The sequence below is a fragment of the Homo sapiens genome, chromosome 3 (assembly GCF_000001405.40).
Source record: "Homo sapiens chromosome 3, GRCh38.p14 Primary Assembly".
Lineage (NCBI taxonomy): Eukaryota > Metazoa > Chordata > Mammalia > Primates > Hominidae > Homo > Homo sapiens.
In genome coordinates this window covers 131,851,174-131,876,536 of record NC_000003.12, presented here as the reverse complement: position 1 = coordinate 131,876,536, position 25,363 = coordinate 131,851,174, and the positions used below count along the sequence as shown (strand labels likewise).

Below are 25,363 nucleotides of genomic sequence, written 5' to 3'. Positions count from 1 at the left end.
CCGAGTAGCTGGGACTACAGGCGCCCGCCACCACATCTGGCTAATCTTTTCTATTTTTAGTAGAGATGGGGTTTCACCGTGTTAGCCAGGATGGTCTCGATCTCCTGACCTCGTGATCTGCCTGCCTCGGCTTCCCAAAGTGCTGGGATTACAGGCGTGAGCCACCACGCCCGGCCGAGAAAAAGAATGTCTCATAATAATAAAACATTCTCACAAAAAATAAAGAGCATGCCTTTCATTTGGTTGTATTCGTATTTATTTATTTATTTATTTATTTATTTATTTATTTATTTATTTTGAGACCGAGTCTTGCTCTGTTGCCCAGACTGGAGTGCAGGGGTGCCATCTCGGCTCACTGTAACCTCCGCCTCCTGGGTTCAAGCGATTCTCGTGCCTCAGTCTTCTGAGTAGCTGGGACTACAGGCGTGTGCCACCACACCTGACCTTGTAGTTTTTTTATAAACTAGATAAATATTATGTGTTTTTGTTATTGGTAAATATGGGAACTTCTTTACCTCTAGAAAGATGGCTCATTTCTATTTTAACTGCACTGAGTATTTACAATGAAAATTCCAACCAACAAAAACCTAAGAAACTGTTTAAGTTTGTAAAAGCCCTATGAAATTTCTAATGACAAATGGCAAATTGGTTTCTTAAACAGATTGTCTTTGTACAACACCCCAAAGATTTAGTCTTTTTTTTATTATACTTTAAGTTTTAGGGTACATGTGCACAACATGCAGGTTTGTTACATATGTATACATGTGCCATGTTGGTGTGCTGCTGCACCCATTCACTCGTCATTTAACATTAGGTATATCTCCTAATGCTATCCCTCCCCCCTCCCCCCACCCCAGGACAGGCCTGGGTGTGTGATGTTCCCCTTCTTGTGTCCATGTGTTCACATTGTTCAATTCCCACCTATGAGTGAGAACATGCGGTGTTTGGTTTTTTGTCCTTGCGATAGTTTGCTGAGAATGATGGTTTCCAGCTTCATCCATGTCCCTACAAAGGACATGAACTCATCATTTTTTATGGCTGCATAGTATTCCATGGTGTATATGTGCCACATTTTCTTAATCCAGTCTATCATTGTTGGACATTTGGGTTGGTTCCAAGTCTTTGCTATTGTGAACAGTGCCACAATAAACATACATGTGCATGTGTCTTTATAGCAGCATGTTTTGTTTTATAATCCTTTGAGTATATACCCAGTAATGGGATGGCTGGGTCAAATGGAATTTCTAGTTCTAGATCCCTGAGGAATCGCCACACTGACTTCCACAATGGTTGAAAGATTTAGTCTTTTTTTTTTAAGTGATAATGTATCTATTTAGTGCCTTCTGTGACAAATGCCTCATGCTATAAAGAAAACTCATGGATTTCAGAGTTTAAAATTTAAAGATGAAATCCCAGATATTTTACTTACACATTGAGTGGGGCTAGGGAAGTTGCTCAGTATCTCAGCCTACAGATCTCTGGTTTGTACAACAGGAGTATTGCCTATTTCATAGATTTATTGTGACAATTAAAGGGTATCATGTTATCAAATCTCCTTAGTCAAGGCCAGATTGCAAAGGCTTTAAATGTCAGTGTAGAGATCTTACATTCTGTGGAGATTTGGGGTCTGAGATGTAGATAGGTATGTGAGAAATATTCATCAATTATATACACGTGATTTTCCTTTTTTAATGTTTAATTTGACTTTAAGCCACAGTTTTTTCCAACGTTTCCCATTGTCACAAGGAACTCCAGATGTGAATGTTTAAATTTCATTTTTTTACCATGAAGTTGTAATTAAATGATTTCAGTGAAACAGGTTTTTAAATGAAGTGAATATATTAAATATAACAATGAATATGAAGTAGCATCATTTTATTTTAAATTCAGCCCAATTTATCTGCAGAATGTTCAGATACATAAATTCATTTAATCTCTACAGCAAAGTTGTGAAGTCAGTGGTGTTACCTTCATTTCTAGTAAAGAAACCAAAACTTAGAGACCTTGTGATTTTACCAGGGTCATACAACCAACAGAGAGAGTTTTCAGGCCTGGGCTGTATCTCATTCCCCATTTTTATTCCTCGTGTTTGGCCCAGTGCCTGGTATGTGGTAGGTGCTCACTAAATATTTGTCAAAGAAACAACTGAGGCCAGGCGCGGTGGCTCACGCCTGTAATCCCAGCACTTTGGGAGGCCGAGGCGGGCGAATCATAAGGTCAGGAGATTGAAACCATCCTGGCTAACATGGTGCAACCCCGTCTCTACTGAAAATACAAAAAATTAGCTGGGCGTGGTGGAGGGCGCCTGTAGTCTCAGCTACTCGGGGGGCTGAGGCAGGAGAATGGCGTGAACCCGGGAGGCGGAGCTTGCAGTGAGCCGAGATTGCGCCACTGCACTCCAGCCTGGGCGACAGAGCGAAATTCCGTCTCAAAAAAAAAAAAGAAAAGAAACAACTGAATGAAGGAATAAGTAAATCTCAGACCCCAAGGCACTGAAATAGTTTTAAAATTGAGATGAAATGTTCAAATGGCACATTCCACATTGAACAAACACTTTACTGTGGAGGTTGAATCATAGATAGACAAAAATTATTTGGAGGTGGAGGGGAAGGTTATCTAGTTTTCCACTCCTCTTCCCACAGCTGTTCTCTCAGGAATGGCCTGAGAAAGGAGACAAGAGGACAGGTAGTGAAAGAGGAAGCCAAGGAGCCAGGGAGAAGGTACACAGGATGTACTACCACTTTCCCGCTGTCCTGGGGCTCAATGCATCTCTTATCACACTGTGAGAGTGATAAGGTCCATTTATGGGTCAGTCATCCTTCTAGAGAGTGGACTTCTCAGGGGCAGGGACTGGGCATTAGTCATTACTGAATTTTCAGCACATATCCTGGAAGTCAGGGTTTCATAGATATTTGTGAACATGAACTAGGCAAAAAGATGTGCTAAACGAAGTGTTTCTCATACGACAGAATTTTATCTTCTCTAAATAAAGTCTCAAGAACACCAGATGCCTCAGAGTGGTCTCAAGATCTAGTTATAGAGCCAGTGGGGTAGAGCTTGATCTCAAAGATCAGAATATTCAGATAAGTAATCAAATCTAAGAAGAGGGAGGGAAGTAATTCAGGTTTCTCTGGCCAAATCTCAGAGCCCAGCTTTGCCACAGTAATAATTTCCATCCCCACCATATCAATCAGGGTCTAGTCAGAAGAAAGAAACCACACATTATTTTAAGAGAGATAATTTAATATAAAGAATCATTCACTAGGAATTAAGGATGTGAAAAGGCAAATAAGAGCAACTCCAGAAAGCACTGTTCACCCTTGGGACTGGGAAAACAAAGAGAAAAGGTTGAGATGGCATGGTCCTAGCCATCTGAGAATTCCCAATCTTGCAATAGTTAAAGTAAATGGAATGATGACATAGTGTGATAAGAGCTATCTTTTCATTAAAAGTTGATATGTAGGACCATGTAAGATGGTATCACTATTTATTTTCTATTACCGTGCAAAACTTTACCTCAAACCTTAGCGGCCTGAAGCAAGAAAAATCATGTATTATTGCTCACATTTTCTGTGGGTGAAGAATTAAGACAGGGCACATAAAGGTTAGTTTGTCTACATGATATCTGGAGTCTTTGCTAGAAAATTTGAAGGCTGAGGGACGAAATTATTGGAAGGGTCATTCACTCACATGTGTGACATATTAACTGGGGGCCTAGCTAAAGGTGTTTCCCAGAATATCTTGACATGGCCTTTTCATATGGCCTGAACTTCCTCACAACATGGTGTTTGGGTTCCCAAGTCAATTATCCCGAGAGATAAAGAGAGAGACAGAGAGAACCAGACAGAAGTCATACTGCTTTTTATACTTAGTCTTACGTGATGTTCAATTTTATGTGTCAACTTGACTAGGTCACAGGGTGACTGATTATTTCTAGAAGAGTATTTTTGGATGAGATTAACATTTAAGTTGGTAGACTGAGTAAAGCAGACTGCCCTTCCTAAAGTGGGTGGACCTTATCCAACAGCTGAAGTTCTGAGTAGAACAAACAGGCTGACCCTCACCCAGGTAAAAGAGAATTTCTCCTGCCTAACTGCCTTCAAACTGGGACATAAGCTTTATCCTGCCTTTGGACTTGAACTGAAACATTGAGTCCTCCTGGTTCTTGGACCAGCTGGTCGTCAGACTGAACCTATACCATTGGCTCTCCTGGGTCTCTAGCTTCACTGACTCACCCTTGCAAATCTTGTGAACTGCCAGTCTCCATAATCATGTGAGCTAATTCCTTATAATAAATCTCTCTCTCTCTCCTTCTTTCTCTCTGTTTCTCTCTCTCTCTCTACACACACACACACGCACACACATGCATACACACGCATACATCCTATTGATTCTGTTTCTCTGGAAAACCCCGACAAATACATCTGAGAGGTCATGCACTTCTGTCACACTGTTGTTTGAGGCAGTTACAAAGGTCCACCCAGGTCAAGGTAGGGGAACAAGGATCTCATCTCTTGATGGAGACGTGTCAGTGTCATGGTATAAGAAGGATATGTGGGGCAGGATATATCTTGGTGTAGCCATCTTTGGAAAATGTAATCTACCACAGCATCTTACTTAGCCTGGGCTGGTATGGGGTTCATAGAGGCGATAGTGTTCCTGCTGGATTCTGAATGCCCAGGAGGAGCTGGTCAATGAAAAAGAGAAGATAATTTCAGGTACAAGGTAAAGTCAGTCATAGTTCCAGAGGTAATAGGTGGATTTATATCTAGAAGATTACCAGTAGCTCATTATGTTTGGTTTTCTCGAATGTTAAGGGTCTGAACTTACCACATCCTTATTTTTTCCACAAGAAAACCGAAGTTGGTATCGGTCAGACTGAAGATATTACTGTTGAGAGAAATGAGGGTATGTTATTTTGAGACTAGTTCACCCACTGTTCTCCTACTTCCTGCTCTATCTGGACCCACAGAAAATGTTGATACACTTCATTCCCCAATGAAGCAGGATAGCGCATGCTTCCAGGGTGTGAGCATAAAAAGCTGAGGAAAAAGATGTTAAGATGTCAGCAACTCTGCTCAGCTAGCTGTTTTCAGCATTCTGAAGAGCATTCTCGGTGCTGAAATCTGATAAGACAGCCCTATTCTTAAAGATCTCCAAGAAGACTCCTCAGTCATCCTTAGAATATCTTATTTCAATTTCCAGCAACTCTTCTTATCAGGGCAAATCCCACTGATTCTTATCTTTTAACCAAGATTACCTTCCAGGGCACAGGAAGTCATTCTCCTGTTCCATCTTCAGTTGATGGAATTGTAAGACCGTTGGCCACCATCAGCTTGGAAGAGATAGTCATAAATGTTTTTCTGTTTCTAGTTCTTTCTCCTTTACCCTTCTTATTTCATCCAGGGATTACTTTATACCTCTGCAATGTGTTTTCTTCATTCATTCCTTCATATCTCTTTTCCCCCTACTCTGAACTCTTGGAACTTTCTCCATGGACTACTAAAGTGGCTTAATAACTGGTTTCCCAAACTATTGTCTTTCCCCACCCCTTATCACACTAAACATCAGTAGGACCTCTTCATGGAGGATGTTCAACAAAAGCTTGTGTTCACCTAGAAGACAATTATTGAATTACCTTCCAGCCTTCTCTTCTTCAGGCTGAGTAATCTTACTATCCACTCCCCCACCAGACAGTGGCTCTATGTGCGTCTCTAATGTGGCTTAGTGTGCTATCTGCTATCCTGAGTCTAATGAATTCCAAATAGAAACCTTCTGGTAGCACCATCATTAATTAGCATCCTTTCTCAGAACATCTAAAAGAAGCTGGTTTCGGGGGAACAATATGTCCCAACAAAACTAATGAAGTTTGGAAGTTGGCTGTTTATAAAAGAAGGAGGGGAAGAGGAGGGGGAGAAAAGAAAAGGAGGAAGGAGAAGGGGAGAAAGAAGTGGTGTAGCCCTGCTGTGTACTTGTTCATGCAGAGTTTATTGGACTTTTCTCCTTGACTTCCTTTCCCTGTTCTTTGATCCCCTCACCCACTAACTTCTTGTCCTCTCACCTCAAAATTGTAACCACTTGTCTTTTAATGACCACATTGTGCCCTCTTTGTGCCTGATTATTAGCAGCTAAAGCCCTCATATCGTAAATCTGTGTAAGTATGGCTTCTGTCGACAAGACCGGTTGCTCCTTGAGGGTAGGAACCATATCTTAGTCATCCTTTTAACTCTAAAATTTTAGCACAGTGTGTGGCAAAAATTAGATGCTGAGTGAATATTTCATAACTGAGTGGATAAACAAATTATTAATAAGTGGAAGTGTTTTGCCTGTTTTGGGTAAGGCAGCCATGTGAGCCCTAGGATTGTATCCTGTTGTGATTCCACTAAGAGGCTCCTGGAAAGTTGCCCATGCTGTGTGTTCTTCTGAGGTCCCTCTTTTTATCATCCCCAAGTCATAGCTTAGCTGTCATTTCCTTGAGGAACCTTCCCTATCTACCCACAACAAAATGTTGCTCTTCCTTCCTTCTTAACAAAATTAAGGAACCCTAAATATGTTCCCTTGTATGTCTCATGTTGTAGACAATGGCATATTTTACTCTTTAATTATTAATTATCTGTATTCACCTTCAAGCTACAGGCCCCATGAGAGAAAGGCCTATTGTATTATGCTTTTGTGGTACTTACAGTGCCAAACAGACAGCCTGGTATGTTGTTGGCTTTCAAAACATAAATGAAAATATGTATGAATGATTAATAAAAGCAGGATTCTTTCCTATGAGTCTTAGTCTTCTCTCTCCTCTTTTTCTCCGAACATACAACTGTAATCATCTATGTAGTTATGATTGTGCTGTGAAAAAATAAAGTCAAAATAAAATACAAAACATATAATGCATTGTTCAAAAACTCAGCAGCATCTTTTATTTATGATTTTATCTAAAAATGTTCCATTATTATAAAATATGTAGAAGTGAGGGATACATGGCTGGCAGGTTTTTCTTAAGTTATGAAAAGCTGAGCTAACTAATGGGCTTCAGCCATCTCTGCTGTTCATAGTGAATGGGCTATCACAGCTGTTTTGAGCATCATAGGTGCCATTCATATACTAAGATAATAGTATTACTGTTAGAAATATTGAAGAGTTTTATCTACAAGAGAAAAAAATTAATAGTCCTAATAAAATCCTGAAATATTATTTCTATTCTTTATGCTTCAGCTGCTAAGGGCTGTCAGAGCACAACACTACAAGCTAAGCCAACAATGTGGAGTCTGGGGGCTCACTCAGCACAGTGAGAAGCAAGGTTGAGTTCCCCATCCCTTCATTTTCTGGAAGTGATAAGATTTGTCCAGGTGTTTAAAAAAATGAAAACAGACAAAAACCAAAAGAACTAGAGCTGATATGGAGGGGTTGAGAGAATGGGGTGTGGGAGGAGAAATAAGGACTTCTTTTTCTATTTCCTAAAAAATTCCCCTTGAAGTCTTGGCTTATTTCTTAAAGGCTTTGAAATGCACCTCACAGCAACCTTGGTAACGTGGTACTTTTTGATCATTTGCCTAACATTTCTGATACTGCATTCTGATTTCCTCCTAGTTCTTACTTAGATACTTTGGGGAGAATATGAGTCCTTTACAGAGGTGGTGTCCAATATCTACTCAATTCTAAAGAGACGGTCGTTCACTCTAATTTGTCATAGGAATGTTTTTCTATGTGGAGGACAACATGAGCTACTCCTGCGATGTTCTAATCACTGATGGATGTTCCATTAGGGTTTGTCTTTCAGCTTACACCTGCCAATGGTTACTATTATCTATTTAGAGAGAAGTAGGAAGTGTGTTGGGCTTAGGTGTCAGAAGTGCCCTATGTTCAAATTTTAGCCCCATTGAAATTTTCAGCAAATTATTAAATCTGTAAAATAAAAGTAATAATTTCTATAATTGTGTCAGTTAGAATTTATTTGGGCTGCAAGTGAAGTAAATAAAAGCATTAGTTATTGAAACCAAACATAAATTTATTTTTTTCACATATTAAAGAATTCCAGAGCCTGCTAAAGCAGATGCATGGAGTCACTAGGAATCAAGGTTCTTTATCCTTTTGCTTCGCCATTCTCCACGTGCAGTTCTACCCTGTGGTTCAAGATCTACATGAGCTCCACGTGTCAGTCTGCATTTCAGCCAGAAAGAAAAAGGAAGGAGGAAAGATATGCATGCCTGCCTCTCTTTAAGGGCCTTTCTGAAAATTGTAACGGTGCTTCTGCCAGAACGTAGAGAGGTGTCACGCCTAACTGTGGTAGGGGGCTGGGAAAGATAGGCTTTACTTCAGGTGGCCATGGGTCAAGATAAAAAATGAGGGACCTATTTAAGACAAAAGAAATGACATCAGGGGACAATTAACAAATCTTTGCTACCTCCATCATCTGAATATTGTGACTATCAAGTGAGAAGATTTATACAAATAAACTTTACAAGTTGTTAAATCCTGTATTTTTGGCAGTTTTCATTATTAGAATATCATTACTACTATATTTTATGGGTAGAAATGCAGAAAAATTAAAGATTGAAGGAACTAGGGTTGTCCATTTCTCAAACAGCAATTATTAGGTAAAGTGTCATTCTGGTGAGTTATTGTTGAGATCTGTCTTATGAAGGATTATTGTGAGGAAAACACATCATTCATTATCCATCAACGTAGAGGATGAAGAGGACCAAGAGAGAGATGGTTCATCTCTTTCATTTTACAGATGAGGAAATGCGGTCAAAAGAGAGGATGTTATTTTTCCAAGGCTGTAAAATTGGTTAGTGGCAGAACCAGAATTAAAACTCAGCACCCTTGGCAGAATATTCAATATCCTGTCCATTGCATGTGCCCTACCTCCCTCAAATAAAAATTATAGTATGAGGGATAATTAAACTATCAAAGGCAGTTGTGGTAGGAAAGTTACTAGCATTTTCTGAGAACACAAGGGACTGGCATTTGCATGGAGGGCTGGACGAATTGACCTCTCAAGGAGACCCCCCACCCGCATGCCTTCCTTCAGGACTGGAGTTAAAATTCACAGTGGCTCATTCAACATTGCCTCTGTGTCCTTTCCTTCTTAATCATAGAATTAATATTGGCCACTCTTTGGCTATACCTTGATTTAATTCTTATCTAATTCTTAAAATCTGTTTAACTTTTTGTTCATTCTTTGTTTGCTGCATTCTGGATCCAGGGTTCTCACTTTATCACCTCCTGATGTTTTTTGTCAACTTAGCTTTTCTGACCTGCTCCGAACAGCTGTGCCCCAAAGAGCGGGTGAGGGAAGGCAGTTCCTCCTGTGTGTCACAGCCCTCTTTACACCTCTTTCCCCACATTAGGGAAACCTATTTCTATCTTCAAAATGTAACCTTTAACTTCTTTTATGAACACTGGCAACAAACTTTTAACACACTTGCAGCCCCACCAGCTGCCTTTTTGACTTCTCACCTGAATTTCTAAGGACTGCTGCTCACTAGTAGTTGCAGTCTTTGTGTTTTATGCTTGGTGTTTTGTTTTAATGCCAGGTGGTGTCTTATTCCTGTTTTGGCCTTTTCTCTGTTATTCTCTTCTGTGCCCTCTTTAATTTAAGATGACTTTGATTCTTTGTCCCAGCAACGTGTTCTCTGTTGTGTCAGGTTGTATGCCTTTGTCTTTCCTTAATCTCCTCTGGCAGACTTTATTAATTCGCGTAATTTTGCTGTGCTAAGTGAGAAATAGTCACTTTACACAACAGCAATTACCTTATGAATCTTCCCTGTTTCCATGTTATCTGATCTTTTTACATGTCACTTATTTTTCTTTTGAACCTGGATTCTTCAGCCTGAGTTTATGTAGCAGAAATTTCTAGTGCCTACCCGATTCCATTGTTTATTTTTTCACTGAAAGAATTCTGCATTGAGGGCATATGAGAGAGAGGCAGTAGTATTCAGCTGTAAAATTACAGTTTTCAGCCTCCCTTGAATCTAGGGCTGGCCATGCAATGGTGCTCTTACCAGTAAGATGTCAAACAAGCCTGAGCAAACCTGAGCAGGGGATTCCTGAAAAAGTTTGGCTTCCCATAGATGTCAGCCTTTTCTTCTTGCTCCTTTCTCATTCCTCCTCTCTGGAACTGGGCACAAGGAATGAAGCTGCCACTGTCATTTTTCAACCATGAAAAAGGCCCAGAGGATCCCGGAGGCCTCAGCCCTAGCATTGTGGTACACTAAACGAATGCCAATAACTTCCTTGCTCCGGAATTCCTGTTAAAAGAAAAAGCCTGTGATGAGTTTGCATCACTGTTGTGGAGACTCTCTCACTCTCAGCTGATTGCAATTCCTAACTGATCAGATTATAACTAAATAAGTTCAGCCTTTATTTTGGGCACTGTGATGTGCCATCCAGATCCTGTATGTGGAAGAATTTGTTGCCTTAGTCTTCGGCAGTATTCTCAGCAGACAATCTTCAGCTGTTAGTCCTTTCAGGGATTACCTCAGCTCCAGAGAGCCTCCTTACCCAAAGTCATGCACCTTCCTGGAGTGGCCCACAAGCAATAAATGATGTGTGAGCCTGTAAAGGCCTGGCCATATTGGCCCAACTTGGGACAATGCCAAAGGTCTATTTACAGCTCCCCATAGAAGTGTCAGTGGCTTGTCACTGGGCCTACATCACAGCTTAACTTTTCCCTCTGCCCACTCCTGATTTCTATTCTTCCCATCCACAGGTACTGGTCTCAAAGGCACACCTTAATAAATACCTATGTACTAGGATCTCTCTCCAGGTCTGCTTCTTGGAGAGCCCAACTTGTACACGTGCTAAATTGCTTTTCAGTCTACAGATGTGTATGGCATGCTACTCAATACCAGGCTGTCTGCTATGCCTTGTTTGTTGGTGGTGGAGGTCAGAAGCACAAAGATGGATAAGATGCAGCCCATATTCAGAAGTAGCTTTAGTGGAGGAGCCAGGCACATAAACAAATAATTATCTTGTAGGGTGATGGCTCCCTTATAGGGGTGATTATATGGGAATATATGGGACAGGTTGAAAAACCACCTGCAACTCACAGAGAAGGCCTTATAAAGAATGCGAGATTTGGGAGGGGTCTTTAAGAATATGATGGTGTTTACCACAAAAAGTAGGAGGTGAAGGGCATTTTTAAAAGGACTAATATGCATTACAAATATAAGAGCTTATTACCAACCAAAAAAATTCTAGGACCAGATGGATTCACAGCCGAATTCTACCAGAGGTACAAGGAGGAGCTGGTACCATTCCTTCTGAAACTATTCCAATCAATAGAAAAAGAGGGAATCCTCCTTAACTCATTTTATGAGGCCAGCATTATCCTGATACCAAAGCCTGGCAGAGACACAACAAAAAAAAGGGAATTTTAGACCAGTATCACTGATGAACATCGAAGCAAAAATCCTCAATAAAATACTGGCAAACCAAATCCAGCAGCACATCGAAAAGCTTATCCACCATGATCAAGTGGGCTTCATCCCTGGGATGCAAGGCTGGTTCAACATACACAAATCAATAAACACAATCCAGCATATAAATGGAACCAACGACGAAAACCACGATTATCTCAATAGATGCAGAAAAGGCCTTTGACAAAATTCAACAACCCTTCGTGCTAAAAACTCTCGATAAATTAGGTATTGATGGGACGTATCTCAAAATAATAAGAGCTATTTATGACAAACCCACAGCCAATATCCTACTGAATGGGCAAAAACTGGAAGCATTCCCTTTGAAAACTGGCACAAGACAGGGATGCCCCCTCTCACCACTCCTATTCAACATAGTGTTGCAAGTTCTGGCCAGGGCAATCAAGCAGGAGAAGGAAATAAAGGGTATTCAGTTAGGAAAAGAGGAAGTCAAATTGTCCCTGTTTGCAGATGGCATGACTGTATATCTAGAAAACCCCATCATCTCAGCCCAAAATCTCCTTAAGCTGATAAGCAACTTCAGCAAAGTCTCAGGATACAAAATCAATGTGCAAAATTCACAAGCATTCTTATACACCAATAACAGACAAACAGAGAGCCAAATCATGAGTGAACTCCCATTCACAATTGCTTCAAAGAAAAAAAAATAACTAGGAATCCAACTTACAAGGAACATGAAGGACCTCTTCAAGGAGAACTACAAACCACTGCTCAATGAAATAAAAGAGGATACAAAGAAATGGAAGAACATTCCATGATCATGGGTAGGAAGAATCAATATCGTGAAAATGGCCATACTGCCTAAGGTAATTTATAGATTCAATGCCATCCCCATCAAGCTACCAATGACTTTCTTCACAGAATTGGAAAAAACTACTTTAAAGTTCATATGGAACCAAAAAAGAGCCCGCATTGCCAAGTCAAGCCTAAGCCAAAAGAACAAAGCTGGAGGCATCACGCTACCTGACTTCAAACTATACTACAAGGCTACAGTAACCAAAACAGCATGGTACTGGTACCAAAACAGAGATATAGACCAATGGAACAGAACAGAGCCCTCAGAAATAATGCCGCATATCTACAACTATCTGATCTTTGACAAACCTGACAAAAACAAGAAATGAGGAAAGGATTCCCTATTTAATAAATGGTGCTGGGAAAACTGGCTAGCTATATGTAGAAAGCTGAAACTGGATCCCTTCCTTACACCTTATACAAAAATTAATTCAAGATGGATTAAAGACTTAAATGTCAGACCTAAAACCATAAAAAGCCTAGAAGAAAACTTAGGCAATACCATTCAGGACATAGGCATGGGCAAGGACTTCATGTCTAAAACACCAAAAGCAATGGCAACAAAAGCCAAAATTGACAAATGGGATCTAATTAAACTAAAGAGCTTCTGCACAGCAAAAGAAACTATCATCAGAGTGAACAGGCAACCTACAAAATAGGAGAAAATTTTCACAACCTACTCATCTGACAAAGGGCTAATATCCAGAATCTACAATGAACTCAGACAAATTTACAAGAAAAAAACAATCCCATCAAAAAGTGGGCGAAGGATATGAACAGACACTTCTCAAAAGAAGACATTTATGCAGCCAAAAGACACATGTAAAAATGCTTATCATCACTGGCCATCAGAGAAATGCAAATCGAAACCATAGTGAGATACCATCTCATACCAGTTAGAATGGCGATCATTAAAAAGTCAGGAAACAACAGGTGCTGGAGAGGATGTGGAGAAATAGGAACACTTTTACACTGTTGGTGGGACTGTAAACTAGTTCAACCATTGTGGAAGTCAGTGTGGCGATTCCTCAGGGATCTAGTACTAGAAATACCATTTGACCCAGCCATCCCATTACTGGGTATGTACCCAAAGGATTATAAAACATGCTGCTATAAAGACACATGCACACGTATATTTATTGTTGCACTATTCACAATATCAAAGACTTGGAACCAACCCAAATGTCCAACAATGATAGACTGGATTAAGAAAATGTGGCACATATACACCATGGAATACTATGCAGCCATAAAAAATGATGAGTTCATGTCTTTTGTAGGGACATGGATGAAGCTGGAAACCATCATTCTCAGCAAACTATCATAAGGACAAAAAACCAAACACCGCATGTTCTCACTCATAGGTGGGAATTGAACAATGAGAACACATGGACACAGGAAGGGGAACATCACACACTGGGGCCTGTTGTGGGGTGGGGGGATGGGGGAGGGATAGCATTAGGAGATATACCTAATGTCAAATGACGAGTTAATGGGTGCAGCACACCAACATGGCACATGTATACATATGTAACAAACCTGCACGTTGTGTACATGTACCTTAAAACTTCAAGTATAATAAAAATATATATATATATATAAGAACTTAAAAGAAAATGCCATGACTGAAATACACATGATTTTCTGGTCGGACGGGAGATGAGGCCTAGATAGGTGAATTGAGGCCAGATAGTACATGGCATTATATAAGCCTTCAGGAAACCATTTATATTTGTTTGGATCAAAATGAATGTCATATAAGAATTTTAGGATTTTTGACAGATCAATTAGTGGCCATGTAAGAGGTAGATTAGTTGGGGGAGAAACCAGAGGTAAGGAAACCACTGAAGAACCTGGTAGGATATTTTGAAAATAGAAGATGAGGTATTGAGCTAGAGCAGGAACTGTGGGTACAATGAGGATGTGACAGATTTAGGAAATTTTATGGGAGAATTATCAAATCTAGGAGTCTCGCTTATATGCATGGCGAGGAAGAAGGTGGAGTCAAGATGACTGAGAATTTTGTACCAGGAAATATTGTCGTGGTACTCTCAAGAGTCAGGATAGGAATTATGAGAGATTTGAGATATCAAAGACCAAGAAGACAACTTGAACTAGATTCCTAAAACACAGAAATGTCTCTGGACTGCAAATATAGGTTTATAATGTACCAAAGTTCTTGCTCTACATCTCGTTGATGTTGTTCAAAGAAAGGATATAGAATAAAAAAAAATTGCAAAGAAAAGAGCCCCTGGGTAATATCTGTGTCTACTGGGACTTGAATAAATTCTGCTTAATCCTGAGTAGGGAGATGATGTCTAAATATTGGTGTCCTCACTTCGCTTCATTAGTATGCAGAGTGTAACTCCCTCTTTTACTATTCTAGGAAACTGTAGACTAGCTTTATGGCTTTATTTATCTTTTGTGCATTTTCTGGCCAAAGCTTGCCCATTTTTATGCTCCTGAATTCCCTTGTTATTATATTAAAGGAAATGTCCCATTAGTGTTCTCAAGTCTAACAATTTCCAATATATTCTTATTTCTCCTTTAAAAAGATGAGATATCCTAGGCCGGGCTTGGTGGCTCATGTCTGTAATCCCAGCACTTTGTGAGGCCGAGGCCGGTGGATCGCCTGAGGTCAGGAGTTCGAGACCAGCCTGGCCAACATAGTGAAACCCCATCTCTACTAAAAATACAAAAAAATTAGCCGAGCATGGTGGCAGGCGCCTGTAATCCCAACTACTTGGGAGGCTGAGGCAGGAGAACCGCTTGAACCCGGGAGGGGGAGGTTACCATGAGCTGAGATCGTGCCATTGCACTCCAGCCTGGGCAACAACAGCAAAATTCCGTCACACACACACACACACACACACACACACACACACACACACACACACAAAGATGAGATATTCTAAACTCAGAGTCATAAGATGACTACTTGTACAAAAAGCAAGAGGAATTTTGCAAGTTCAAATCCTTAATCTTTGAATCAGGAGAGTTTTCTGCAGCAGAATCAGACTCAGTCCTGAGCACTTATTCTATAAACTTTTTGAAAGCACAACTTTTTGGTGAGCAGTAAACAATAACCTATGTTGAGCTGAATCAAATGGAACTGAACCAAGCCTATAACAATGTCTTCAATAAGGAATGTTTGACAATCACTACTGACTCCAAATATGTGGTTTTCTATAAAGTTTGGTTATATATATGTATGTTTCAGAAAGTCTAAAATGGAAATATTAATATATGTGTGATTGTACTTAAGAATAAAACTCAAACTCACTTTTATATGAAGTGGACAGAAAGTCAGTGATGACAGAAGCAGCAAGACATACTAGACATGGGATACTGCTTAGGAAAGTAGCATTTGCACTGATGTCCAGAAGTCGGACAGAGCACTTTTTTCTCAGAGATTAAAGACAAACTCACAAATCAGGTATTTATGCAAAGCCAAACTCAACTGTCAGTTGTGAGTATCTTCTGTGTACTAAAACTGTGGTTTACTTGTGTCATTGTTGTTTGCATTGATTGGCACACAGACGATAGGTAGTTACTTTATTCTTCTAGCATCTTCCGTGACATAAGCAATATAACCCCTATTTCCAGATAAAAAAACCAAGACTCTTTGAGTTTGATTAATTTAATCATGTAATCCAAACCTAGACTCAAAATAAAGTCTATCTGACCTAAGGCCATGTATGCTTTCCAACTTGTTCACACTGTTTTCATTAAATGCCTTGTTAAAATGTGTGGAGAGCTTCAATGAGGGGAAGTAAATACAGTTTCCAGATGTCTTAATTCTCTGAGTTGGGGCAAGAAAATCTGAAGAATATCTAGACATTGTCTCAACTATTTCCCATTCCAGATCCTGCCATTTCTTTGTTGTGTTTTATAGCTATAATTAAAATGAGCTCAATTAGTTTTTGGATTTTTCATGTCTTGTCCCTTTCCTCCGCTTGGGTTCTACATAATCAGTAACCCTCAATTAATATATGTACCGTTTCTAAAATGTTATCCTTGCCACTTAGTAACAATAACTAAACTACTAACTCTGGCGGATTAGCTTTTTACTGTGACCATCATTATCTCCCAAACATATCTTATGGAGACATTTGTTTTCATGCTTTGTTGTGTGATGCACCAACATAACTTTACAGACACAGAAGGACTGACTGATGACAGTTAAAGACCAAAGTGCCTTAGTTTGTCTAAATAATGACTTTGGGGTTGTCATATGTATGTATAAGATAAAACCTAGGACAAGGTGATTTGTTGAGGATAAGAAAAAAGGAATGAGGGAGATTATTGCTGACTTTAAATAGTGTGGAATGATGGAGTCATTCTGCGGATGGATTTGCACTGATATTTTCTATTTTATTTAGTTTCTGGCCTATGATCTATTGGGTTAGTATTAGTACAATTTATTTAAGTAAGGTGAATGCCTCTCTTTGCATGTTTTCCCTACAGAATCTGACATATGAGATTCTTTCTAGCATAAAGTTGAGAAACTAAAGACGTTTGGGTATCAGCAGAATTATAGACTGAATCCAGGGACACTTGTCATCTGCAGTGGATGTAATTCAGTGGTTGGCAACATTAGCTGTTTATTGGAATCTTGTGGACACCATTGGTGCTCAATCTTGCCTATAATGCAAATTATTTATGGACCTTTAAAAATTGCTGATGCATAAGTTCCACCCCCAGAGATTCTACTTTTATTGGCCTGGAGTGTGGCCTGGGTGTTGGAATATTTAGCCCTCTCTGACTCACCACCCACTCTCAAGAAGTTTCTAATGTGTAGCTGAGATAGATGCTAAATTTGAGGGAAAGTAATTGAAACAGGGACAAAGGAAAAAGGCTAGATTGGGTTGCAAAAGTAGCCAAAAGGAAGTCAACTGTAGGTGGTTTACAATGATGAGTATTGAATAGAGAAGAGCATCTTGAGGAACAGCGAGTTGCCATCACATAAGAACAAGATAAGGAGCCCAGCCAGGATTTGTGGCTGGCTATCTTGGGGAGCTTCATGGATGAGGTTACCATATAAATTCTCATATTTTAGAAATAAAATGGAGTGCTGTTTATAATTACACTGAACCAACAGGTATACACCAGGATTCTCTTGGACAGACTGCAGTGCATGGACTTTCTTAGCATGGGTCTCATTTATGACTTCTGACACTTACATCATTTGGCTTGTGTAAACATGTCCTTTATAAGTTAAGAAAAATATAATAAATGTTTTTGAACTCTAATAATATCATTCCCACAGCTCCACTAGCTTCGTTAGACAGTGATTCTCAACTTTAATACAAATAGCTGGTCCTCATTCCCAAGAGATTCAGATTTTGGTGAGCAGAGTCCAGACATTACTCTTTCTCTTTTAAAGCTTCCTAAAAGCACTGCTTAAGAGGGAAGGAGTTGTTCAAGCTCAAAGTGTTTGCATCCCTTTGTGGAGAGTTGCCTGATGTCAAATTGCAATTTTGTAAAGATTGATTTTGGTGATTTGTATAATGAACGTTATTGCCTTATAGCCACAACTCCTAGGTGTGTTTTGCTCCATTTGCTGCTAAGATTATGTAGCCACTATGTAATGGTTTAGGCACTCATAGTATTTAAGTTGCCATAACCTTGGGAAGAATTTGAGAGTGATCATTTCCAAATGTTTCACTGGTGTGATGACATTCAAGGGAGAAAAATGTCTAAAAGTTTTTATAAAAGTTTTAGAATGTCATGATACCTAAGATATCTTTCATGCCAATTTCTAAAAGGGCCACTATGGATGATAAGTAAAATAAAAGCATGTCTCCTTGTGTTTACAGTAAATATCAAACACTATCTCATTGTGAATATAACCAACTTTTCTTATCCAAGTTTCTATGTAGATGATCTGTGCTTCTCTGTTTTCTTATCTTTTATCTGGGGCTGCTTGTCTTTTGAGTAGTAGTTAAATTATAGTTCATTAGAATAGAGAACAAAATACAAAAGGAGAAAACCAACTCAACTATTTTCATTAATGGATCTGTTGATAGGGTTGAATGGCAGGAAAGTATGAAGCTGGAATTGAAATGATGCTTTTGCATTACCTGTTCAATGCAATGGATTCAACCTTTTTTCACTCCTTATGTTCTCAGAGGACAAATCATGGTCAAAGCTTTAATTCTCTTGGCTTTAAGACTTTGAGAGAAGTTTGAAGATATAATTGTGTAAATTAACTTGCAAACATGGATCATTGATATTTTTAAATTAATAAAAAATCTCTAAAGAAATATATATATGGTTATTCTAAAAAATTGAATTGTCAAGAAGACTTATTTGCATAATTTAGAGAACTTATTCTCTTCCCAGCACCTGTGTGGTAATATTTATATGGGCTACATCTGGTGTGAAGTTTTTACTCTTTCTTTTATTTTTTTAAGCACCTAACACCTGCTGGAAATTGCTATGTTGTTAGGAGAAATGAGGATTGTATTGGATTTTTCAGTGGATTCTACAACGTAATTAGTCTAGGAGTATACCTGGTTGAGCAGCAGAAAGGATGGGAGGTAGAGAGGCATGAAGGGCCGTAACAGGGTTTCCCTCTGCTGTTCCACAGAATATTTCTTTCATTGACCCTTTCTTAGAAAGTGGGCACTAGAAAGAACATCCCATCCTGGAGCCAACCAGCACCAATTATCTATAACTGTAGAATGTCATATCTGAGGCCTTAGAGAATTTCCAGAACCCAGATCTTTTCTCTAAAATGAAAATAAGGCTCAGGGAGACTGAGAAATATCCCCCCAAAGTCAAGCTAATCAATTTTAGTAGTTCCCAGTTCATTGCTCACTTTACTGCATCCTACTGTTTAGCCAAACATTTACCAACCCTAGGGCTCCACTGACTTGTTCTGGGAACTTTAAAAATAAGGAAGCATTTCCTGCCAAACAGTGAATGATGAAACTGCTGCAGGAACCCACTCTTCACGTTTACCTAATTTATATTGCAGGGTTCTATTTAAGATTTTTAGAGTGAAGAAAGCACCCACAATCAGTTTTGATGCTAAAAATATATGATACGCATTGGCCTAAAGGGTAATTTCCTTGAATACACTTTTAAAACACTAGAATCTTGCACTAGTATTAGCACAGAGTATCTTTCAATAAGGTGTTGTTTAAAGAATGAGAAGGATAGAAGAACATGATTTCTAATCTTTCTCTCATTGCACAATCCTTGAAGCAAAGATTTGACACATGCTCCAAGGTGGTATGTATATATGATGTAAGTCAGGGATGCTAATGTATATACTTGAAGCATTATGTCTTATAAACAGAAATAATTAATAAAAATATATCCTCTTATTCCACTGAATGAATGAAATCATATATCATCATGGGGAAGAGCACAAGCTCAACAACCTGATGGTTGTCAAATGCCAGCTTTGCTATTTATTAGCTCTGTGACATTGGGTAAGTTTTCTGTGCTTAATTTTGTTCATCTGTATAATAGGGACAACAGCAATTACCTCACGGGAGGATCAAATGCTTTAAGGCATAAAGCTTTAGAATAGTGCCTGCTATGTAGTGTAAGCATTCAATAAATATTAATAATTTTTATTGTTAGCCAGGAAGGATCATGCTTGGAAAGTCCTTTTGTGGACAATGTTTCTAAGGTTCCATCATTTCTCAGTAGGTTTTACCTATTTACCATGTTTCCCATCCACATGTGTGTTCTATTCTCTTCCAGGACCTTAGCGCAGAAACTGGATGTGAACATCCCATCTTCTAGACAACAGCAAATATTCATTATATTCTGTACAACTACAGAGTGTTAGAATGTATGATATATTTGATTTCCTGGCTCATTCACAGTGACGCCTTTTTTTAAAACATCTGAACTTTGACGGAGTGAGTATGTGATCCCTATGAAAGAGATGACTAGCCAGATTACAGGTATGATGACTCATACATGTAATCCTAGCACTTTGGGAGGCTGAGGCAGGAGGAATGCCTGAGGCCAGGAGTTCAAGAGATGACTATGTAGAAACCATGTAAGACATGGTTTATGTTTTTATAAACATAAACCATAAACATAAAACACGTTTATGTTTTTCTAGGTTCTACACATATTGGGTACACCAAAGATGTTTGGTAACTTGAATAGACTTAATAGACAGAAGTTTGATATTGGTGATTTTCCTTTTATTTGTATCAGATTGTATTATCAGAAGTTCCTGGCCTGTGTTTTGAGGCCAGATATTTAGAAAATACTGAGAATCTTGGAAAATAGGATAACCAGTCTGAGCAAAATACCTGTTGGCTTAAATCTCAAATATATTTCTGATTTCAGTGGTTATTCAGTCAGAGGAGAACTCAGAAAGGCAGGCATATGAGACCAAGTGCAGAAATAAACTTACAATAAATTTTATTTTATATTAACTCAATATTTGTTTATTAGAAAGAATCAGGCTTGGCTGCAGAGATAATGATGATAAATACAGCCAGATATATGATGACGGATTTAGCTGAGCAATGTCTGGAAGAGGTCTTTATAAGCAGAGACCCAAACAAATTCTTCAAAATTAAATGACTGTATTTTCATCACACACACACATACACACACACCCTCACAAGGCACGGTTAGGAGAACAAATAACTACTTCGATCAAAACAGAAACTCCAGAGCCCAGGCTTTACCTAACTGTGCAAGGAATGAGTGTGAGACAGACAATGGAACTGATGTGTTCTAAACCAATTCAAGAAGGTAGAGCTGCCAGAAGAAAAAGATTCTTTTAAGCAAAATCTGAAGCCACCTTCATGAAACATAGAGACTACTTTATACTACTTTACAATTAGAGTGCTGTGAAAGATGGAACAATTATTGGCAAGTCAAGAGCTGAAAATATCTGCTTGTGTGTAGAAGCTGTAGATGGGCACCCTTAAGCTTTTGTTCCCTCTCTGTCAACTCATTGAATCCAACCTTAGTGGGCACAATTCCATTGCTACTGCAGTGATAAGAGATTAGTGCCAGAACCAAGTTTCAATGCCTTAACATATGCTAGCCAATGCCCAAGTGGGAGATCTAAGACTTTGTCCAATCACAGAGCAATGAGTACCATGGGGCCCAAAGGAGAGAGACCTAACAAGTGAAAATGAATCAGTTGATATCAGGCACCCATCCTATTTTCTTGAACGTTGAGAACTCAGACCCAGAAAGAGGCTTATGTGAAATACACTGACCTAAAACAAAAGCTATTATACTTTCTCTTGAATCTGGCTTTTCACTGGATTCTTGTTAAAAGAAGTTACAGAAATACCGTATCTTGGTTGTAGGCTTGTGCAGGCCCATGGAGAAAGGTTTGATAGGCAAACATTTGTTTATTATGCTATAGATGCATATAATTTAAATAATTGGATTATGTGAAATGGTACTGTTCAAATAATCTTCTCCAATTTTCTAGGGACCCTCAAAAGAAAAAGAAGGAAAGGAAGTGGAAATGAAAGGAGGGAGAGAAGGAGGAGGAGGAGGAGGGTGGGGAGTAATGAAAGAGGAGAGGGAATAAAGGAAGAACGGAGGAAAAGAATAAAGATGGAGGGAGAGAAAATAAAAGAATCACAGACACACACCCTCTGCCTAAAGATGTTGAATAATTTTTTATTTTGGTAATAGAATGGATAATGTAGATGCCTTACATGGATGACAGTGAAAATGTTGGTTGTTTATCCTGAAATAGAATTTTTCCTCTTTGGGATTTTGGGAACCATTTTTAACCAATTTTTTAAAAAATTGAAGTAAATATGCATATAAAAATTTTGTCCAGGAGCACAAACTGATTCAGTTTGATGTTCAATGCATAGTCATTTGACATGTATATACACTTAGGTAAAAATCACCCAAAACAATATATAGAATAGTTTCATCACCCAAGTAAATCTTTTCATGCCCTTTTCCCCTTACAAGCTCTTCTTCCTCAAGAAGATGACCACTACTCAGATTTCTATCCCCATAGATTAGTTTTGCATGTTCTTGAAGTTCATGTAAATGTACTCTTTTTTGTTTGGCCACTCTCTCTCTCAACATTATGTTTTAGAGATTTATCTGTGTTGTTTTAAATATCCATAGTGTGGCCCAAGTAGTATTCTATTATTTGGATATACTAAAATATGTTTTATTCATTCTCCCTTTATGGACATTTGTGCTATTATCGGTTTTTAGCTATTGTGAATAAGGCTGAGATGAAGATTCTTATACAGGTTTTTAAATGAGCAAATATTTTTGTTTCTTTTGGGAAAATACATAAAAATGAAATTTCTAGGTCATATAGTAAATGCATATTTAACTTTATAAGAAACTCCAGTCTTTTAAAGTGGTTATACTATTTGACACTCCCTGCAAAAGTGAACGAGATTTCCAGTTGCTCTACATGCATGCCAGCATTTGATATTGTCAGTGTTTTTCATTTTAGCCATTTTAGTGGGCATGAAATATTACTGTGGTTTAAATCATATTCCTTGATGACTAAATAATGTTGGGTATCTTTTTATGTACTTATCGGTTACTATACATCTTCTTTTATGAAGCATCTGTTCACATCTTCAACCATAAGTTTAAAAATTGGGTTGTTTGTATTTTTATTGATTTGTAGTTCTTCCTATGCTATGAATATTTGTTTTGCAAATATTGATTCAATGGCCTGCCTTTTCATTTTCTAATAGTGCCTTTAAGAGAAAAAAAGTTTGGTTAAACTTTGATTAATCCAATATATTATTTTTTTCTTTTATGTTTATTGCATGTTGTATCTTACCCAAGAAATAATTGTCTTTCCCAAAGCCACAGAAATATTCTCTTGTGTTTTCTCCTTGACATTTTATAGTTCTAGCTTTTCTTTCAGCCTATAATCCATCTCAAATTAATTTTGTTTATAGGATAAGATTTGAGAGTATACACACACACACACAAGTATCGAGTTGTTTCGGTGCCACTTGTTAAAATATTTTTACGCTTTTTTCCATATTGAATTGCTTTAGTGCCTTTGTTGAAAAATAGTCAATGTACAGTGTTTGTATAGATTCATTTCTAAACTCCATCCTTTTCCATTTATCTATTTGTCTATCCTTATATCAGTATCACACTTTTTGATTACTATATTTTCATAATTTATGAATTCACATAATCTGAGCTCTCCAATATTCTTATTTTTCAAATTGCTTTGGCTCTTACAGATCACATGACTTTTTATAGAAATGTTAGGATAAACTGGTCAATTCTTCAGAAAATTCTGCTGGTATTTTAATTGGGATTGCTCTGAATCTATCAACGTGGGGAAAATTGACATCTTAACATGTTACATTTTTATTTAAAATATTTAAAAAATTTCTCTTAACAGTTACTTATAGTTTTCACCATATAGTTTGTACATGCTTTGCTAAGATTATCCCTAGGTATTTTATTTATTTTTATTTTAAATTATTATATTTTTGTATTATTATTAAAAACAAAAATACAATTGATTTTTGTATATTGAAATGGTATCCTGTGACTTTGCTAATTTATTTATTAGTTTTATTTGTTTTAGATTCTATGGGACTTTCTGAGTACAAAATAATATTGCATGTAAGTAATGACACATCACTCCTGATCTAATTTTTTTTTTGTCTGTTGCACTGGCTGAAACATGCAGTACACTATTGAAAAGATGGAGTGATAGTAGAAATCTTTACCTTGTTCCTGATCTTCAGAACAGATGTTTATTGTTTCACCATAAAATATGGTGTCAGCTCCAGGTTTGTCATAGATGTGCTTTATGACACTCAGGAAGTTTTATTTTCCAATATTCTGAGAGGTTTTAACATGACTAGGTTTTAAAATGTTATCAAATAACTTTTCTGCAACTCTTGTGGTGACAGTATGCTTTTCTCCCTTATTCTTTAGTGTGATGAATTCTATTGATTCATTTTCAAATATTAAACCAACTCTGTGTTTCTGAGATGAAACCCACTTACCTATAATGTATTATCCTTCTTGTATATTGATGGGTTTTTTTACATTGCTTACATGTGCTAATATTGCAGTGACACACAACCATCATATTTTTCTACTAGATTTATTTCCTGGTAGGAAATCTATTTCTGATCTCTAAAAGGGCCTATTAATATATCATACCCTTAATACTCTGTAAGTACATAGAAAATATTTTAAGAATAAAACGTATGAGTGAACAAATTAATGTATATGCATTTGTTCTCCCATGTCTCTTTCAAAAGTAGGTTTTGCTTAATAAAAAGTTCAGGCTTGACCTTGCATAAGTCAGAGTGCCTACAGCTTCCCATGGTGTGGACTGGTGTCAATGTGGCTCCATTTTCACCCATGAATGGAGGGGTCATTCATAAGACTGTGCGGTTATCAGGAAAGGGCTGGAATCCTAGTTTAGGATCTTTTGCTGCCAGGAAATCCACTTCTGCCCATGTCTCTGTTTCTTCATCTATAAAGTAACAAGGCTATATGTTCTAAAAGACCCCTTTTATGTATAAAATTCTATATATCTGCAGGTGGTAACTGAATTGAGGGAAAGCCAGGAATAGAAACCAGGTCTCTTCAAGCCAAGATAGCTATTTCCTCCACTGGATTGCTCTGCCTTCCTCTTTCTAATACTGACTGTTTAATGCTGGTTATTTGGAGGCTTATTAAAATTGTTCAGCACAAGGAAAACCTGTTCTCCATCGCTATCATCACCAACTTCTTTGAAGTGACTCTATAAAATTTGTTACACCGGTCTGTATAAATGTGAGCATGGAAGTCAAACCCTTCTTTACTGACATGTTAATCTCCCCTTGGAACCTTTCTGTGTGTATGATTCATTTGGAGGGTAATGGTCCTATCTATGTTTTATAGTTGTCTAATCCTGATTTTTTTCAGCTTGTTATATTTCCTGTGCCCAACTGTTACACAGCTGGTGCTAAGCTCATAGAATATTCTTCAAATCAGCCTTTGGATTTTCTCACTGAGTTTTGTTAAGGAGAGATTAAAAATATTAATTTTTAATTGAATGAGTAATATCCAAATATAGTCTCATTTTTAAACCTTCAAACATTATAGATAATGTCTAGGTCCTTATAAATCACTCACTTTCTTTCCTAGTCAGCTCCCAAGAGGTA

General features: G+C 38.0%; 1 protein-coding gene and 1 long non-coding RNA gene across 11 annotated transcripts in view; one reads left to right on the top strand and one right to left on the bottom strand.

Annotated features, from left to right (window-relative positions):
- Positions 1-25,363, top strand: part of CPNE4 (copine 4) — a 506,038-nt gene that overhangs the window by 163,070 nt on the left and 317,605 nt on the right. The gene's annotated exons all lie outside the window — the stretch shown is intronic.
- Positions 4,611-25,363, bottom strand: part of LOC105374113 (uncharacterized) — a 69,117-nt gene continuing 48,364 nt past the window's right edge. For all 3 annotated transcript variants that reach the window (XR_007096089.1, XR_007096088.1, XR_007096090.1), the window contains 4 exons: positions 10,035-10,250; positions 6,684-6,846; positions 4,831-4,890; positions 4,611-4,687 (listed from right to left, as the gene is read on the bottom strand). This is a non-coding gene — a long non-coding RNA (uncharacterized LOC105374113). The remainder of the gene's footprint in view (positions 4,688-4,830; positions 4,891-6,683; positions 6,847-10,034; positions 10,251-25,363) is intronic.